This window comes from Homo sapiens, chromosome 1 (assembly GCF_000001405.40).
Source record: "Homo sapiens chromosome 1, GRCh38.p14 Primary Assembly".
Taxonomy (NCBI): domain Eukaryota; kingdom Metazoa; phylum Chordata; class Mammalia; order Primates; family Hominidae; genus Homo; species Homo sapiens.
In genome coordinates this window covers 107,187,093-107,208,349 of record NC_000001.11, presented here as the reverse complement: position 1 = coordinate 107,208,349, position 21,257 = coordinate 107,187,093, and the positions used below count along the sequence as shown (strand labels likewise).

At 36.6% G+C, this 21,257-nt stretch overlaps 1 protein-coding gene across 18 annotated transcripts in view, besides 1 other annotated feature; it reads right to left on the bottom strand.

Moving 5' to 3' along the window:
- NTNG1 (netrin G1) overlaps nt 1–21,257 on the bottom strand; it is a 344,836-nt gene that overhangs the window by 276,574 nt on the left and 47,005 nt on the right. The window lies entirely within an intron of this gene.
- Nucleotides 11,150–11,199: a silencer, noted in NCBI's record as "silent region_1131". NCBI's record gives its function as "represses an Ori minimal core promoter by ATAC-STARR-seq in GM12878 lymphoblastoid cells {active_cell/tissue: GM12878}" and the evidence as "EXISTENCE:reporter gene assay evidence [ECO:0000049][PMID:35858748]".

The following is a 21,257-nucleotide window of genomic DNA, read 5'->3' as shown; positions in this document are numbered from 1 at the left end:
CAAGTGATTCTCCTGCCTCAGCCTCCTGAGTAGCTGGGATTACAGGCCTGCGCCACCACACCCAGCTAATTTTGTATTTTTAGTAGAGACGGGGGTTTCTCCATGTTGGTCAGGCTGGTCTCAAACTCCCAGCCTCTGGTGATCAGCCCGTCTTGGCCTCTCAAAGTGCTGGGATTACAGGCATGAGCCACCATGCCCACCCTCCCTCCATTTCTGCATGAATCAGATATGAACTTAATGTGCTGGTGTCTCAAGGGAACACACATGCCTTCGACGCCTTGAGCACTTCAGCATCAGCTCTGTTTCCACGATCATGATGAAGAGGAGGGGGACAGGGACAATGGTTCCCTGTAGAAAACATTCTTCTGTGAGTACGAGTCCCTGGTAGCGAGTCACTGGAACCAGAGACAGGGTGGAAGGAGAAGAAAGTTCAGCTGCCATGCTGTGGCTGCTAGGACATGTTTAAGTCCATGGCATGTGGAAACCTTCCCACGGAATTTTAACTATCATTGAGGGAAAGTGCATTAGGCCAGAAATCCTAAAATAGTTTACAGGCACAAGTTCCATGAAACATGAGCTACGAAAGTATCTCTTATCACTTCACAGAGCACAGAGTGAAGAAATGGGCACGTGAATCATCATAACTGTTGAGATACATATGTCACCTCATCTTCAATAGGTGAAAAGTTTTGAATCATTTTGAATATGATGAAAACAAGAAAACAACAGCCACCCTTTATACCTTAGGTACTAAACATAATGTAGTTTCTCCATGGAAGGGTTCATTTTTCTCTTTACTTTCTGTAGCAGAAGTTGATTAGAAGAGAAAAGCAGAATGAAGATACCTTTAAAAAAGCAAATAAGTACACAATGGGATCTCTCACTAAGCACCATGGAGAAACTGGCTTTGTGCCATCACCTTCACAGCTACAGTATTTTTCCTTTGGGAGGTGGCTGTCCACAGTCTGAAAGTCATTTTTTCAGTGTGTGTACCTACTGCATAAAGTACCTGATTCCACAGAGGAGTTTTTCACAGTTATGGGAGGAAAATAGGAAAGTGTTTGAGGCAAAATGAAATCTCTAGGTGTCATAGTTAGTGCCAGGAAGAGTGTTTCCTCAGGGTGGAGGTCACAGCTCTGCTATTATAGAGGATAACAAAGCTGTGTCAGACTGGGAAGAGAATTTCTTTAACAAAACCCACAGTGACACTTGAGACTGTCTAGGATAGCTGAGAAATTAGGAACCAAGTAATTGGATGTTTTCATCTCCGAAACACACTTCACACCACTTTTGAAAAAAGTATCAGTGAAAAATCTTAATTTTTTTTCCTTTTAGAAAATTACTAGGCAGAAATCTCACAAGATGAAATTTCAAAGTAGCTTCCATGTTCATATACTTAAAGTACTATACATCAGCTTCTTCCCATCCAACTGCACCAGCGAGATGGCGGAATATACATCGAGGTCTTATATTAAAGGCGGGCTCGTTCAAAACCAGCACTTAATCTAGGCCGGCCCATGGTCTAAATGCTCCATGAGTAAAAGAATTGTCTCTGATTCACTCATAAGCCCTCCACCAACACAGCTTCACACAAAACCCAATATATACTAGGCACTGAATAAATATTTACTTAAGATCTTTTAAATTTGTAAAATCTAAAACTTACATATTTGATTTTTCAGGAATAATCCTTGTGGTGGCTCCTAAGTGCAGCTTGGGATATAAAAGTGGACCCTATATGTTTTATATGTTCATTCAGTTAAGCAGACATCTCCGTAACACTGGGTGAAAGGCACATGAGAAGAACATCATGGCAGATTTTGAGAGATGCAAAGGTAATGATAAGAACCCTGCCTAGAAAGACCTCCCAGTCTAGCTAGAAAGATAGACTTGACTAAAAGTCCATCATAATGGATGGCATGCTCAAAGGGCCAGTAAACGTAAAAAGATGCTCAACATTATTACCCATAGGGAAAATAAAATTAAAACCACAGTGAAACACCACTATACACTTTAGAAACAGCAAAAGAGAAAAAGACGCAAAATATCAAATGTTCATGAGGATATGGGGCAGCTAGAAATTTCATACATTCTGGGTAGTGTTGATGGGATAGGGAAATGAGGGAGTGAAGGAGGACAGGGACAGCCATGCAGAAAATTACTTTTTTTTCAGTGTCCACGAAAGCTGAAAGTATGCATACATTATGACCCAGCAATTAGACTTCTCCAAGGTATACACCTAATAGAAACACACATATATATTCATCAAAAATATGTACTAGAAAGTTTCAGCAGCCCTGGAAACTATGAAAATCTTCATACACTTTAGAATGGACAGATAAATTGTCACAGTGAGCAATGAGAATGAACTATATACAATAATGCAGATTAATTTTAAAACCTAACATTAAACCCAACAAGTCAGATACGAAAGAGCACATACTGTACAATTCCACGTATAAGTTCAAAAACAAGCCAAACTAGCATATGCTATAAGAAGTCAAAATAGTAGTTGTCTTTTGGGAGTGGGGGCAATTAGTAAAGTTGAAAGGGCAGTTGAAGAGGGCATGAGAGGTGTTCCTGGGAGTGTGGTAATGTTCTGATTCTTTACCTGGGTGCCAGTTGTACTGGTGACTTTCAGTTTGTGAAAATTCATTGTTCTGTATACTTAGGATGGGGCACATTTCTGCGTGTATGTTAGACGGATTATATAGTTTTTTTTAAAAAAAAAGTCTGCTTTATACACTGAAAAAGAATTGTAAAGAAAATATTCAGGATTTGTGGTAGAGGCGGAATTGTGATTTCACACTTGGAGGTTCTGCATCCTGGTCCAAACTTTTAACAATAATATATACTTATAAAAATTATGAAAATTTAAAATAAAAAAGCCATAACTAATTTCTGGCTTGAGCTCGGACAGGCAAGGTACTTGGAAGTCATCACTGTCATCCTTACAAGGAAACGCTGGATAAGTTGAAAATCACTGACTTTTCTTGGACCCATCAGAGAACTGAGGCTGTATAGCAAACCATCACCCTGAAATTTGGGGAGACAGGCATATCCAAGAGACACAGCCTAGATCTACATACCTGGAGCAGAAGTCTCTGAAGCTATAAACTCTGAAGCCATAGACTCATAGAAACATTTAAAATGGATTATTGAATTTTTGGAGGTTGAAACTTCGAAGTAGCTTGAATTTGGAGGTTGAGTGTGAATTTTTGGAGGTTGAGTGTGAATTAAATGAGAGTGAGACACTTCTGGGGTCAAAGTCCTAGTGGAGCTCCACATTTTCATGTGCTTTACTTCCAGGTTCTCACTCTAAAGATTTCCTGAGGCTCTGGCAGAGGGAAGGGATGATAGTGGAGGTGCTTCATGTAAGTGAGGAACTGGACCAAGATGCTTTTAGCTCAGTGACTCCAATCTGCAGTAACTCCCGTATCACCTGCTCTCAATAGGAGCTCTAAGCCTTAGTTCTGGACTGAGGAATGGGGAAATTTAGTGAAGCATCCCAAAACCAGTAGTCAAGAAGGGTATGTACAGAGATTGCAGGGGTGCGGGTAGGAGGCAGGGAAACAGTCAGATTCAAGATAAAACCCCATTTCTGTTGTCTGTTGCTAAGTAACAAAACACCCTAAAACTTTAATGGCTTAAAACAATTACCATTTCATTCTATCTTATAATTTTGTGGATCAGGAATTTCAACAGGTTTCAGCTGAGTGATTCTTCTGCTTCACCTGGTATCAATTATTATCCTTGATTGTATTCAGATGGTGGCTGGGGTGATATGAAGGGTCAGAGACAGATTCGCTCACATGCCTGGTTCCCTGGCAGAGATGGCTGGAAGGTTGGGATCAGCTAGGCCCCACTCCCTCTCTGTGAAGTCTCAGGGTCTTTCCATGTGGTCATTCACATGGTAGTGAAACTTCTCAAGTCTCAGTTTAAGGCTCTAAAGTGACTGATACAAGAGATAAGAAGTATCCAGAAACTGATGCAGTGTCAGTTCCACCATTGTCTGTTGTTAAAAAATAGTTAGAAATTCCATCAAATTAAAGAAGAGACAGGGATTCACAGTCGTGACTCAACGGAAATAGCATCAACTAATCTGCTATATCAAACCAAAACTCCAAAACAGTAAAGAAAATTTAATGCTAAAAGTTGTAATCAAAGAAATCAACAAGTGGGAAATAAATGTATTCCAGAGGGGGAAAAACAAAACAAAACAAAACAGAAACATCTTGGTAACAACTTCAGTATAAAAACCTTAAGGATTTTCAAAAAGATACAGAGAAGCAATAATATGGAAAAAAAATAGAACCATATACTATGAAATACAAATAGCTAAGAAGAGTAAGTAGATTAGAAATCTTGAATATTACAAATAAAGGTTTAATTTTTTAAAATAAAGTTAGTGGAATAAACTTTAAACTAGTAAGAGTCAATGATAAGAATTAGTGAACTGAAATGTAGTATTGATAAATTCACCTAAAATGCAATGCAAAAAGATAAAGATATTTTAAAATACATAAAAAAGCAATTAAGAGACATAAAATGCCAGTTAAGACTCTCAAGTATACTTAAAAAAATTCAAAGTATAGAGTAAAGGGAATAGATAAAAAATTCCAAGTCTGAATAAAAATAGATATTCTTAGATTAAAAGTATAAAACAAAGGTCAAGTTGAAAAACCAAACATAAAACAATACTTCAGTAGAATTTAGTGAAACTGAATGAAGAATAGCTATATATATGTGTATATATATACACACACACACACACAGTAACTATATATATGAATAACTCTATAAGAATAACTATACATATAACTATATATTCATATATATAAACTTCCCAGAAAGAATAACTGCTTATCTACAAAAAATAAAATTGACAAAATTGGCAATAAATTTTCATTAGTAGCAATATGACTAGGAAACAATAGAAAATATCTTCTGAAAATGGAAAGAAAACTGTCAATCTGGAATTCTATCTCAAGGTATACTATCATTTGACACTGAAGAAACAGCAAAAAAAAAGACATTTTCAGACAAAGAGTAAGAGAAATTACTACTCACAGACCCTTGATGAAAAAACTATTAAGGAATGTGCATCAGTAAGAAAAATAGTAAATACAAAGGGGTCAAAAGATGAAAAAAAAATGAGTGACTGAAAGAATTAAAGAACATTCTTGCTACATTCAATTACCTGAAAAACAAAGAAACATTATGTTTTTAAAAGTAGAATTAAAATTCTAGACAACAATAAGAAGAAAAACAGAAGAATGGAGGGTCAGTGTGTGTACATATAGCTAAGATCTTTTCATTTAAAAAGTGTGGATATATTAAATAATTTTAAATTTTGGTAAAAATTTTTATCATTAAAATGTAATAGATCTCCATATAGATTCATCTCAAAGACATTTTTCTAGGTAAAAGAACACAATCTCAAAATATTACATACTCTATTATTACATTTAGATGAAAAAGGGAAAACTTTTGAGACAGAAAACAGATCAGTGATTGCCAGATTTTAGGGGTAGTAGGAGGTCTGACTACGGAGGTCAGCAGGAGAAAATAGTGCATTTGGAATTGTTTAGAATTCTGATTGTGGTGATAGTTACAAGAATCTGTGCATGCATTGCAACTCATAGAATTGTACACCAAATGGATGAATGCTACTGTAAGTAAATTTAAAAATAAACAAAAATAATTGTAACCAATAAAACAGTGGACTAAAATTTATAGTTTCAATCCAGTAGAAAGGGAAAAAAGAGTAGAAAAGTTTTTCTACAGTGAGTCAGGAAATTATAAAAAGCAAACAAAGAAATAAAATAAATAAGGTCTTAGAAAACAAGGTAAAATAGTAGTAGTAGTACTGGCAGTGGTGGTAGTAATAGCATTCACTGTGCTATTACACAGTGCTATCACATAGCTAAATGCTATGCACCATTTAAAGTATTTTACGTACATTAACTGACTGATTCTTTACAATTAGGTAGATACTATTATAACCAACATTTTCCAGATGACAAAAGTAAGATATATATAAGTTAAACAAATAGTCCAAATCACAAAGTTAGTAAAGGTTGAAACTGAGATTTGAAAATAGGAAAAAGTACAAGTCAGCCAAGAATAACAATAAATATAAATGGATTAAATTCTATCAGATTGGATTTTTTTTGAAGTCCAGTTATGAGACATGTCTAAAGCAAAATTACATGAAAAGGCAAAACAATAAAAAGGTTTTTTAAAAACTCTTCTAGTAAAATACTAAAGAAAATATAAAACAAAAAATAAAGCTATAGCAATATTAATATAAGACAAAATAAAATTTAAAGCCAAAAGAACTATTAGGGATAAAGAGGAACATTATATAATTATAACAGAATAATCCAGTAAAACTATAGAACAGAGGAGAGAGGAATTAATTCTCTTACAAATGTGAAGGATCATTTCATGGAGTAAGTAGCATTTGAGTTCTTCCTTAAAGAATGAACTGAATATCAGGATAGTTGTAAATAAAGGGAATGTTAAGGAAATGGGAACAGGCATTATTTAATGTGCCTGAAGAAATATCTGTGTGTGAATAACTACAATTGCATTTTAACAGGTTACATGTTATCTGTCTGCTGAATTGCCTGCCTAGGGTAGAAATTACAGCCTGGAAGACCAGTTAAGAGGTTTGATACGTTCTAGGCAAATTGACATGTGAAATATGCACCTGATTTTCTTTCTCCTCCCAACCTAATCATCTACAATATGTGATCAAGAATACAGAATGGAGAGTGTGGAGCAAAGGAAATAAAAAAGGCACAAGAGATAACATCTTTGGCAATCTTTTCTCTCCTTTGTCACAGAAGTGACCACCCACTCCCCAAACACAGGAATTCATAAGACAAAAGGGAAATGAAGAAGAAATCCTTGTAACACAATGAGGGAAAATTATATGAGGATTACAAGTGAGAACTGAAGGGCTATTTAACAAGTTGGCACGAGAGTAGGGCGAGATTCAGATTGGAAGATTGAGGACAATTTAAAATGTGGTCAGGAGACAAATTCAGGGACTTTAGGAAGATGATTCTGGGAACAAATACACAAAAGGAAGGCAAAGTTCCCTGGTCTCCATGCCTAAAAGTGATAGTTGCCCAAGAAGTAAAGTTTACTCCATCATTATCTGTGAGAATTAGGGAATAGTTTAATACTATACATTCAGAGGATAATGTTAAAAAAATAAAGGTACAAGTTTTTGAGGATAATATAGATATGGCTTGAAGAATATTTGAATTATTTCCTTCAGTTTTAATTTTTAAAAAAATTGAAAAAATTTACAGTACCCAAAATTGCGTTGTGTTGCTTAGAATGCTAGGGCAAACAGAAACAAACACAGTAAATGTTCAGTATAAGAAGCAAACACAATTCAAGGGAGGGATATCAATAACAAAAATAATGCTGGTCAGAGAAAAGAACTGAGTCATAGCTTTCCTAAGAAAAATATACTTACTGAGTTTTTTATCTATGCAGTGCTAACACACAATAAGCATTTGGTAAATATTTGTTGAATGAATGAATAAAAAGTCACTATGGAGAGTAATAGGAGGGGCTCAGGGAGGAAATTGATTTTTCAAATAGAAAATCAAGCCCTCTTTTACATAAAGCAGTTATGTGAAAATGAGAGAACTATATGATCAAAGGGCAACCAGTGACCCTAATTTTTTTCATTTTAAAAAGGCTTTGAAGTATTCCTCATGAAAGAGTATTAAAAGGACGGTGAAACAACAACAATGAAAATCTCCAAAGGGTTGGCCAAGAAGGGAGAATGATTTGGTTAATCCTTTCCCCTGGACACATGTTCCCTAATGTTCCCCTGCAGCCTGATGGGAATCTTCATGAAAACATTATGAAAGACTCAAAAAGAAACTCAAGACACTGTGATCAAGAGAACACAGACTGTTTAAGTTCAACCACAGACCATATGATTAGTTGATATGCTACCAAGTATCACTAATATGTTATTTTGTTATTAACAAGAAATGTTATATAACAAGAAACATGTTATTTTGAAATGGAGGGTGCCAGGATTATCTTTGCCACTCTTGTACTTACCTAACAAAGAGTGAATGACCAAAAGAATGTTTATGAATGACTAAATGAATGAATGTTAATATTAGTAGCTAACCACAGAGCCCACCCTAATGTATCAGTCAGAGATTATGGTGAAAGAAAGGAATGGTTACAAAAGCAGTATCCAAGAATCTGGCATTGTCACTAGAGTACATATCTGGCTAAAGAAGGAACAAATCATAGTACTTGTCATGTCTAGTACTTCTAACAAATTGAGAGAAAACCCCATGATTCCATGAAGATCAAAAACTGGTGCTGAAAGATTCTAGATAAAAGCATCACTGCTTCATAGAAACTAAACAAACAAATCCTGGTCCAGAAGGTTACTGATTGATAAAAAGGATTATCACAAAGACATTGAGTAAGCCAAGAGGATTTGTATTTTTTAAGGATGACAATGGATTTCTTAGGGATATTCCATTATAGCTTCCACTGAAATAGTCACTTTACTTTAAGAGGACCAGAGTTGGGTCTCTGAATTAATTATGGTAATTTTGAAGTATCTACGCGAGAGGAGGACTGTGTGTATGAATAAGTAAGTGTCACTTAGTAACATTTTCTGATGAATAAATCAGTTTAAAATTGGAAATCTGTGTCCTCTGGTAATTTCTTCTAAGCCTTCTTTCCTGTGAAATCGCTTTTCAGAATTAACACATCTAGAAGACATTCATTAAACATTTGTTGAATGGATGAATTTTGATGTGACATTGAGATAATACTTAGTATTACTATAAAGTAGTATCCAGTACATATTTTTAATAAGCAAATGTTTTGCAATGATTATAGGACTGCAATACAATTTAATACTCGTGTAGAAGTTACAAAGATATAGATCTACAGTGAGCTAAGGTTGTGCTTCACATATTCAGAAGTCTCACTATAGCATTTTTTTTATGGCCTAAATACAACATATGTAATGTGTGCCAAATTCCAGAATTAGGAATAGAAAAAAAAAAGAAGTAATAAAATTGGTGAAGAGATCTGGCTACATGAGAATACATAAAAGAATTAAGAAAACTGGGGAGATAACTGAAGGTAATAAAATCATAAAATGATATATAGAATATATGGTATTATTAAGAAGACCTTGGCCTACTAAAAGAAGGGTGCACTTTTAAAATCTTGAGTTTATTTTAGCACTATATCAAGAAATTTCAACTTTTCAAAGTGAGAAATAATTTCTGTAACTCATTGTTGACTAGAAAATTTCAAAAAAAAAATAGCAATTTCAGAAGAAACTAAATAATAAATTGCTGCACAGGAGATTCATGGGAAGCATAAAATATTTCGGTGTCTCATTCCTAATATCTTTAAGTCAAAATCAGTTGTCCCCAGAATATAGCCCGTTGCTCCATTAATAGAGACAGAATACAGGACTAAACACTCCATGAGCCAAGTTTGCAGGGGATTTGGAAAGCCTGCGTGTGATATCAAGTCAAACAATTTTAGAGCCAAACGCCCTATGAAACCACACAGTGCAATGTTCTCATTTTACATAATGAGAAAACTGAGACCCAAAGAGATTAAGTATCTTGCCTGAGGTCACACAACTAACAAAAGGCAGAAACTTGCTAGAATCTAGACTCCCTGAGTCCCCAGTTCTAAGTTCTTTCTCTTACATGTTTACTCTCCCCAAAACACAAAAATACGAAGGGGAACAAAAGAAGCAGACACACAAGTACTGAACTTTTGGACAAATATTATTTCTCCCCACTAAAGATGGGCATTAAAATCTTTGATTTCCTGTGATGTAATTTTATTTTGTCTTTGTATAAGCAGACTAGAGTTTGGAGATAAGGATACAGTTTTTACTGTTCTGGAAAATTTCAAGCATATACAAAAGTAGACAGCATAGTATAATGAAACTGTCATGTACTCACTATCCACCTTCAGTAATTATCTCAATAGTAATCTTGTTTGATCCATTCCCTACTTAATCCTGTCTCCTTCCACAATATAATTTTGAAGTCAAGCCAAGAGCACATCCATAAGTATATCAGTATGTGTCTCTAAATGTAACTACAACACCATTATCACACCTAAAGAATGAAACATCATTCTTTTCCAACACCGTTAAAGTCACTGTTTAAATTTCCAATTGTCCCGTTGGTGTCACATTATTTAGAATTTGTTCTGAAGCAAGAACATTTTAAATTTTACTGAAATATTGAAAATGCAGAATATCTAAATAAGCTGTAGTGATGAAAGTTACACTAGAATCTACCTTTGACATTGCACCTCAAAGAATAGGAAAAAAATGTGCATTATCATAAGGGCCTGGGAATAGGATCATTATTTTTGTATAATCACATTAAGTGACCCAATTTAATGCATAGAAAATTATGTGAATAGAGATGAGCTTATGATTTAAAATAACAGTGGCCAGGTGGATGGCAATGTTTACACACCATGGTGCACCAGATTATCAATTATATCCATACATCCAAATGATCCTGGGCAAGGTGCCACACAGAGAAAGAAAAATGGATCCTACTCTGTCACTACGTGAATGTGTATTCTAATGTCATGGCAGGGATTAGATAGGGAGCACCATAGGGGAAACACTGTAGGGAAAACCAGTGGAGCCTGAAGACAGAGGGCCAAAATCTCATCCAAGCCAGAATGTAGTCCTGCACAAATCTGTTGAACTCTCTGAGTGTCGCCTTATCAGCATAAAAAGAGTAGCCAAGGTGGCATCTGAAGACCCTTCCATATCTAACACTCAATGGGTCTAAATATTGTCAACCCATTCTTATATAATATGCAGAACTTCAAAGATATCATTTCATTATGAAACTAAATGTTGAAAAATTGCTTCATCTGCCACACAGTTTCTAAAGAACAAAATTCCAAAGTATTGACGTTTGCCATTTCTCATTAGATTGTGTCTAATGAGAAGGCTCGGTGACACTGTAATTGGCTGTTGTAGAGGGCAGCATTTGGGAGTGGCAGTAAGCCAGCAGAGACCTACCTAGTTTCAGCACAGCTGACCCTTGTAACTAAGGCTGCAGAACTAATCAGACCGCATTTCCTGTGTCACAAGCCTAAGGGTATCATACAGACATATACAGCGCCCCCTGTAGGTTGGTCAGATTAAGCAACTAAAAGTACTGCATGCTCAGTTAAAATGTTTCACATAAACAATAAATAGTTTTACACTAAACTTTTATACGCTAAAACTTGTATAACAACCATATTCATTGTTTACAATGAATTCAAACTTAACTGGTTGTCCTGTATTTTATTTGGTAACCCTAACCCCAACATGCATGCACGTGCGCACACACACACACCCGCCCGAGAATGACAAGGTTTTCATAGGCTCTTAGTCTGACACTATTATAGAAAAATATGACATTAGAGCTGATATTTGGGAGAATGCACATACAGTCCTGAAAGACACAGATCATCCATAATTAGAATAAAATATTTTTATCTTTATTTTATCTAAAATTTAAAATGCATATTGATATTGGCAGGTAGAACTCTTCTTTTCTACCCAACATACTTAGTTTATTAATAAAACTCATAACAGTTTTTCCATAGAGAAACTAGTTTCCCTTTGACAAACAGTTCTTGCCTGGGTGTTATGTTGTCATCATTTACTGTACTCCTCACAGGAAGTTGAAGCAGAGAAAGGTTGTGTTATTTTTTCAAAGGCACACATCTATCAAAGAGCAGAATTAAACAGAAGACAGGACCCAAGGACTCCGAGTCCATCCCACTACTTCCCACGATCTACTTTCCTCAACTTCCATGGGATAAGATGTTTAAAAATCAGCATATTAACAGTTACGACTTACTGAGTGTTAATTATATGCCAGGCACTGTGCCAAGTAGTTTATATACATTATATTATTTATTCCATATAGTAAGGTGAGATGTTAATTATAACCCATTTCATACATGGAAGGGGTTTTGTGGGGAGGGAGCTGAGGCTCAGAGAGCCTAGGTAAATTGCCCACAGATCAAGAGCTGGTAGTCAAAAGAGGTATGTTTAAACATAAGTCCATCTGCCCCCACTCCCACCAAAGCCAAATTTCTTAAGAGTCAGTGACTGCTACGTAGGAGATCCTTTATATGGATTATTTTACTTAATCTTTGAAACAATTGGAGAGGTAGGAAGTCATTAAACCAAAGTTATCAAGTGCCTACTACTATGTGCCAGGCCCTGGGTTCTAAGTGCTGGGAGTACAACAAAAGCAAATAGTACAAAAATTCCCATCCTCCATGAGGCTTACATTCTAGGAGGGGAGATCAATGAGGGTAAATAAAAGATACAGTGTTTAGAGACTGGTAAATGCTAAGGAGAAAATAAAGCAAAGGAGCACATGAGGTGTGGGCACAGGGTGAGAAAGAGGGTCACTGGCCATTTTAGAAAGCGTGTCTAGGAAAGGATTTACCAAGAAGAAAATATTTGAGTCAGAACTGATATAAACAAGGGAGCAAGTCATATGGATATCCAGAATGCATTCTAGGCAAAGGAATCAGCAAGTGCAAGGGCCTGAACATACCTGAAATATTTGGAATATTTAAGAACAAGGAGGACAATGTGGCTGGAAAAAGGTGGGCAAGGGAGACTGCTAAGGCACAGGTGTGTGTGTATGTGTGTGTGTGTGTGTCTGCCTGTGTGTGTGTTTAGGAAGTCAGAAATAGTGAAGGATAGGAATCAAATTATGTAGGGCCTTGTGGGACATAGTGAGGACTTTGGCTTTTACCCATGTGAAATGAGAACCTCTTACAGACTTTTGAGCAAAGGAATGGTGTAACTGACTCACTTTTTAATATTTATACTCTGGCTGCCAAAGTTGCAAATAGACTGAAGGGGAGGCAAAGGCAGGAGTAAGGCAACCAAACAGAAATCCATTGCAGCAATCCAGATAATGGTGATGATGACTAGGAGCAGGATGGCAGCATGCAGGTGAAAAAAATTGTACGATTCTGAATACCTTTTGAGAATAAAGTGGACATGATTTATTAATGGGGCAGATGCAGAATGTACGTGGATTTAATCTTCATTTTACAGATCAAGAAACTGAGGTTCAGAAAGCTTAAGTGAAGCTTAACATAGAAAACACAAATGGTCGCAGTGGAATTTAAACACCAATCTGCCTCACTTGAAAATGCATGCATTTTTCATTACATTTTCATTGTTCCCTAAGCATGCAGGGAAAACAATTTAAATTTTCTTTAAATAAGCAGTGAAACTTTAACAAATTTAAATGTAAGAAGACCACAGCTTCTAGAAGGGTTATGCCTCAAAGTCTGTAAGGCAGCTATTAAAAACTTGGAAGGCCTTTTTTTTCCCTATAGAAATACTCTTACAAATGGTTATTAGTTTCCAGGTCAAACGATAAAATCTGTGTAATCCATATTCTAGTTGATCGCCATAGATACTTTTAATTAAAAATATAGTAGGAGCTAAGCATGTTGCCATATCTATAATTAACCAAGACAAAACTAATAGGAAGTATATTCTTATTTGCTTTTTAATGGAGCTGTAGGATGTAAAGCAAATTGCATTGTGATAAATCAGAAGTTAATGGAAACATTGTGAAGACTTAACAGTGTCTACTAAAAATTTCTAAACACATTACAGATGGATGCTATTGGTTTACTATGCTGATCTCACTTTTAAACATTTTGCATTTTCTTTTCTTGGATACAGATGTCAGTTTGCATATGTGACCAGTAACTGGGGCTGTCTCTTTCCTCTCAGATAAAAATATATGAGAGAAAGGGAGAAAGAAAGAAGAATAAATCAAAGTATTCACCTCTGTGGCTGAAATAACTGGAAAAAATTTTAGGAGAAAAGAGGAGACTGATGTGAATTTCTGTTTCTGTAAGGACGTATTGATTTAAGATGTAATTAACTAAGGAATAATAGGAAAAAAGGCAGAAGAATGCTGTGAATGCCATAGGGAAGTGATTTAAAACCAGAGACTTCCCTGCACTGGTACCCATCTGATATAACCATCCAAAAACATTTGGTTATTGTTCCAAACAGCTTTGGAAAGCCCAGAGCCCAGAGCAATATAGGAACATGGTGGAGGTAGAGGGAGGACAGGCTGAGTTCTGAAGAATGCTAAGAGTTGGCCAGTACAAGGAGAGTTCTAGGCAAAGGTGGAAGTGCATGCAAAGGTACAAAGACCAGAATGCATGGTCTGTTGATGATTTCAAGCAGTTTGGTAGAGTTGGAAGTGATGAGAAGGAAATCATTAGATAAATGGTGAGATAAAATCCTGGGCAAGAATTCAGGGACCTGATCATAAAGGGTTAAGGAGTCTGGATTTGATTAGGATGGCAAGATGGAGACTTTGAAACATTTAAGGAGGAGAGAGACACTATAGGTCTTTTCTTTTTTACTCACTCAAAAGGAAGAAGGAAGGAAGAAAAAAAGAAGGAAGGAATTGAGGGAAGGAAGGAGAAAGGAAGGTCTGGTGGCAGTAAAGAGAATGGACCTGAGTAAGGTGAAATTTAAGGCAAATTAATAGATATTCCAGGTGAAATTATGAGGGTTTGAACTAAGACGGTGGCATTAAAAATATAAACCTTGTAGTCTTAATGCCTGAACCTTCACTTGGACCTCTTAGGCAAGTCACCTAACTTCACTCAATCTACATCTGCTCACCCATAAACTGAGGACATAATTAAGTACACTTGCAAGGGCTGCTGCGTATGAAAGTGGCCAATACATAGCAAGAGTTCCACAATATTAGACACTACTCTGGCTATTACTAAAAGATTAAGAAAGGGGGTTTCTGGCCAGAGAAGTACAGAGAATACCAGAATAATGAGTTATGAGGACAAAGAGCATGAATTCAGTTCAAAGTATCTAGAGTTTCAATTTATTCTGAGATGTGGAAGTGTTCAGTTGGCAGATGAGAATCCAGGCTTGGAGAACACAAAATGACCGAAGTTGGAGAAACAGCAGCAAGTAGGCAGAACTTGAAATTATATCCGGAAGACTATGAGAAGTAAGAAGACCAGTGAGCAAAAAATATGAGAGTATTGAGAAGTGACAAGAGTGAAGAAGTTGTGGAAGGGGTTCTCAAAGAGGTAAGAAGAATACCTGGGGAGAAAATCATCCAACTGTCCAGGAGAGAAGACAATGAGAGCACCTATCAAGGTACTTTTAATTTCTGAGTCTAACCATTGAACAATTAGTATATGTTCAAGGGCATTTATTTCATTAGGCCATTATATTTTGATTCATAATCATTCTGTAACTGATCTCATTTTACCTATTAGTTTCTATTTACTTTGTTTATGATACACATGGAATTTGAAAGGAAAACAATTTAATTATGTTGAAAATTAGTCAATGATTCTCATTTTTCAGGAAATCACAGTAGTCTTAACTTCCATTATTCAGAATTAGTCAGATTTTATTATATAATGTGAACCAGCTGAATTAAAATAAACATTAGAATCAAATCCCATGGCTTTGCTGATAATGTCCAAGCATGCACAAGGTACTCACACATGGAATAATAATTGTAGCAAAGACCATTTTAGTTACCCAGGAATGGCATTTGTATCCTAAAATTTTAAACTATGTACACATTTTGGAAATACAAAAAATCAAGATAGGCAAAAGATATGCCAGAAAATTAGCAAACACAAGAAAAGAGAGAGATTTCAGGCAAATACATGTGTCCCTAGGGCCCCTGTGAGTTGAAAGGGGAAAGTAGGGGTTAACCTGGCAAAGAATCTCCAGATACTGGCATTTGGGGCTAACAGTTGAGATTGTGGGGCCAAGAGGTTTTGAGAAGACTCCTGGGAGAAACCATAGTGAGACACATTAGAACTGATGTCAACCCTTGGGATAAGGCTTTTGAACAAAATCCATCTACTTATGTCTTAGGAAACACGCTGGGCAGGCTTATCCATCCAGGATGGTTGTGTAAAAAGAAGGTCGAAAGCACGAAGGAGAAGTCAGACACACAGGGGCACAGAGCAAGTAGAGTGTAAGATGGTACAAAAAATACACCAATAACAGACAAACAGAGAGCCAAATCATGAGTGAAATCCCATTCACAATTGCTTCAAAGAGAATTAAAATACCTAGGAATCCAACTTACAAGGGATGTCAAGGACCTCTTCAAGGAGAACTACAAACCACTGATCAATGAAATAAAAGAGGATACAAACAAATGGAAGAACATTCCATGCTCATGGGTTGGAAGAATCAATATTGTGAAAATGGCCATACTGCCCAAGGTAATTTATTGATTCAATGCCATCCCCATCAAGCTACCAATGACTGTCTTCACAGAATTGGAGAAAACTACTTTAAAGTTCATATGGAACCAAAATAGAGCCCGCATCGCCAAGTCAATCCTAAGCCAAAAGAACAAAGCTGGAGGCATCATGCTACCTGACTTCAAACTATACTACAAGGCTACAGTAACCAAAACAGCATGGTACTGGTACCAAAACAGAGATATAGACCAATGGAACAGAACAGAGCCCTCAGAAATAACGCCACATATCTACAACTATCTGATCTTTGACAAACCTGAGAAAAACAAGCAATGGGGAAAGGATTCCCTATTTAATAAATGGTGCTGGGAAAACTGGCTAGCCATATGTAGAAAGCTGAAACTGGATCCCTTCCTTACACCTTATACAAAAATTAATTCAAGCTGGATTAAAGACTTAAATGTTAGACCTAAAACCATAAAAACCCTAGAAGAAAACCTAGGCAATACCATTGAGGACATAGGCATGGGCAAGGACTTCATGTCTAAAACACCAAAAGCAATGGCAACAAAAGCCACAATTGACAAATGGGATCTAATTAAACTAAAGAGCTTCTGCACAGCAAAAGAAACTACCATCAGAGTGAACAGGCAACCTACAGAATGGGAGAAAATTTTTGCAACCTACTCATCTGACCAAGGGCTAATATCCAGAATCTACAATGAACTCAAACAAATTTACAAGAAAAAAACAAACAACCCCATCAAAAAGTGGGCAAAGGATATGAACAGACACTTCTCAAAAGAAGACATTTATGCAGCCAACAGACACATGAAAAAATGCTCATCATCACTGGCCATCAGAGAAATGCAAATCAAAACCACAATGAGATATCATCTCACACCGGTTAGAATGGCGATCATTAAAAAGTCAGGAAACAACAGGTGCTGGAGAGGATGCGGAGAAATAGGAACACTTTTACACTGTTGGTGGGACTGTAAACTAGTTCAACCATTGTGGAAGTCAGTGTGGTGACTCCTCAGGGATCTAGAACTAGAAATACCATTTGACCCAGCCATCCCATTACTGGGTATATACCCAAAGGATTATAAATCATGCTGCTATAAAGACACATGCACATGTATGTTTATAGCGGCACTATTCACAATAGCAAAGACTTGGAACCAACCTCAATGTCCAACAACGATAGACTGGATTAAGAAAATGTGGCACATATACACCATGGAATACTATGCAGCCATAAAAAGGGATGAGTTCATGTCCCTTGTAGGGACATGGATGAAGGTGGAAACCATCATTCTCAGCAAACTATCACAAGGACAAAAAGCCAAACACCGCATGTTCTCACTCATAGGTGGGAACTGAACAATGAGAACACTTGGACACAGGAAGGGGAACATCACACACCGGGGCCTGTTATGGGGTGGGGGGAGTGGAGAGGGATAGCATTAGGAGATATACCTAATGTAAATGACGAGTTAATGGGTGCAGCACACCAACATGGCACATGTATACATATGTAACAAACCTGCACGTTGTGCACATGTACCCTAAAACTTAAAGTATAATAATAATAAAATTTTTAAAAAAATGATGGTACAAAAAGATGCTCAAGAACTCTTGGCTTCTTCTAAGACATCTTGCTCTTTGTTGTTGTTGTTTTGTTTTTAATTGTGGTAAAATAAACACAACATAAAACTTACCATCTTAACCACTTTCAAGTGTGCAATTCAGTGGAATTAAGTGAGTTAACATTGCTTTGCAACCATTACCACAATCCTTCTCCGAAACGTTATTTTCCCAAACTGAAACTCTGTGCCCATTAAACAATAACTCTTCATTCCTCCCTCCTCTCAGTCCCTGGAAACCACCATTCTACTTTCTGTCTCTAGGATTTTACTACTCTGGAGAGCTCACATAAGTGGAATTGTACAATATTTGCCATTTTGTGATAGGCTTATTTTACTTAAAATATCTTCAAGATTCATCCATATTGTAGCATGTATCAAAATTTCATTCTTTTTTAAGGCTAATATTCTATTGTATGTATATACTACATTTTGTCTATCCATTCATCTGTCAATGGATATTTGGGCTATTCCCACCTTTTGGCTGTTACAAATAATGCTGCTGTGAATACTAGTACACAAATACCTGATCCAGTAAGGCCCCCCCCTTTTTTTTTTTTTAACTTTTGACTTGGTAGGCCATAGCTGTTTGCTTCAGTTGTCTTAGGACATTGAGGCCTTTCTGTTTTTAGATGTGTTTAGCTAGAACTATTTGTCGTCCAGGGTGATATATAGGGAATTTATACACCAGATAGGATGATGGGCAACTGATGGTTTATACATTCAGCTAGGATATTTTTTAAAGGTAGAGAATATTAAAACATTTTATAACCTACCTATATGAACCTAGTGCTATGCTCAAATTCTAGAGAAAGAAATTGAGTCAATGATATTGGCAAACTATGAAAGATACTTGTGTAGCAAACAGTACTTTGACAGGGCTTGCAATTTTGACACCCCTCCCCCGCCTTTTTTTTTTCAAGACCACTGGTTGTTTATTTTCCTTTAAAAAAAACTAAGAGTTACTTACATTTTGTCCCAAAACTTCATTTTCTTTTCTAAATTCACCCAAACTTTTTTTTTTTTTTTTGAGACAAGGTCTGTCTCTGTCACCCAGGTTTTAGTGCAGTGGCCTGATCTCGGTTCACTGCAACCTCTGCCTCCTGGGTTCAAGAGATTCTTGTGCCTCAGCCTTTGGAGTAGGTGGAACTACAGGCGTGAACTACCACTCCCAGCTAATTTTTGTATTTTTGGTAGAGAAGGAGTTTCGCCACGTGGCCAGGCTAGTCTTGAACTCCTGGCCTCAAGGGATACACCCACCTCGGTCTCCCAAAGTGCTGGGATTACAGGTGAGAGCCACGGTGCTAGGCCTATATTCACCCAAACTCTTACAGTCCCCCAAAATTTGACTGTACACCAACACCTATTCTTTCAAATATTGAATAGGAAGCCCCTCAAATGAGATGGAATTAATACTCTGAAAAATTCCATTGATTTGTATGCCATTATCCAATTTGAGATTACCAGGAAGGACCATTTTAAATTTAAATAAATGCTGCCTTAGATGGAATAACTTACTCTTGATCCCTACATTTGTAATCAATAGGGAACTCTTTGGCTGCATCTGATTTGTCACAGTTTTCAGCTAAGTCAGGAAACCTAATGCAAAATTCTGCCCTGTTATGTGGATTTGTGAACTGTCTAGAGGGTTCTGGGTCCATTAACCAATGGATAGATTACCAAGAGACCCAAATATAATGTTTTTGTCTCCAACAGAGACATTCTTACTCTAATATTATTCATATGATTTCAAGCAAAGTGCTGGCTGTTTTCTTCAGGCTCATACCTGGAAATTAATAAAGAGATAGAGCAAGGCATTTCTCTTGGCATTAATTCAAAATTCTAAAGCAAAATTAATTACATGTGCACTTTAAAAAATCTGGATTCTGGAGCTTTCAGTGAGAGCATTTCAGAATTTATTCATTCAAAATCCCAGAGCGAATGTGCATAATAGGGGGTATATTACTTATGCAGAGTGTGAAGAGCTGTAGCATCTGGGGCCAAGGTATAGACCTGTCAGTTAAATGACAGACACATTACACCCTGGCCATGACTGAGACAAGACATCCAAGCATCACCCCTTGTCTTACTGCCTTGGTGCTGCAGCCAGGCAACATATGTCAGGAATCTCATACCCAATGTGATAAATACAGTCCCACCAAGTTCTACAAATTCATTCAGATCTATTGTCGCTTCACATCAATCAGGACTACGGAACTGTTGATTTAAAAAAAAAATCAATTGATACTTTTGTAATTAAAAACTGTCAAATAAGATGTAATCAGCAACGCTGAGTGGCACATAGTTGTCAAAAAAAAATGCCTATGCCATTCCCGATTACACACAGAGGTAAGTAACTGGACTAATTATAAATCAGTCCTTTGTATGATCATGCAGCATAAAACATCTAACAAACATTCTCAAGGAAATGTTTCCTCCTAGCCAAAGCTGTAACTGAGAATTTTTAAGCCTAATGTAAAATATTAATGGCTTTTTCCCCTTTCCTCTTTTCACTCCTTCCTGCTCCAATCTCTGCCATCCTCTCCCTTTAAAGGGTAAAACAAAGTCATTCTGCCCTTGCTTCTGCATCATATGTGTCCTTGCCGACACCTGAGGCAGTGAAAAAAGATGAAGAAATGACAGTATCTGGTCTCAGTGTTTCTCACCACATTGTTGTAGCGATATTTAGTATCTCAGATACAGAGTTAACTCTTCGTTGTCCTTTTGCAGCTCTGATAACAGCTGTGCTCTGAACCCTCACACCAATGTATGTGATCTGTTTGGAGCTGAAACCACAAGGGTTTATGCAGAAAGGGCAACCCCCTATCCTGCTAGGAAACCAATTACTGTGGGTGAGCTACTCTGCTCTTTGCAACATTCATTCATTTATTCATTAATTCAGTGATATGCTAGAGCTTAACTTTCAGAGATCTTGTAAGCCAATTGTTAAACTGTTTGCAACTTGAAATTGGTTGGTGGTAAGAGTATGGAAATTTTAAAAAGCTATAAATCATCCCTGACCTTATACCCAAAGCTAGCTGTTAGATCAACACATTACTAAATTTATTCATCAATTACTTATTGAGTACCTACTATGTGCCAAGTACTGCATTGGGTGCTAGGGTATAACAATGAAAAATAACAATAAAAATTTTCAATACTAGTGGTAAAGATAGGCAATAAACAAATAAATACACTCTTTTAAAAAAATACAGAGAGTAATAGGCAAAACGAAGAAAAGAAACAGATGCTATAACTGAGAATAAAATGAGGGGCAAGCCTCTCTCT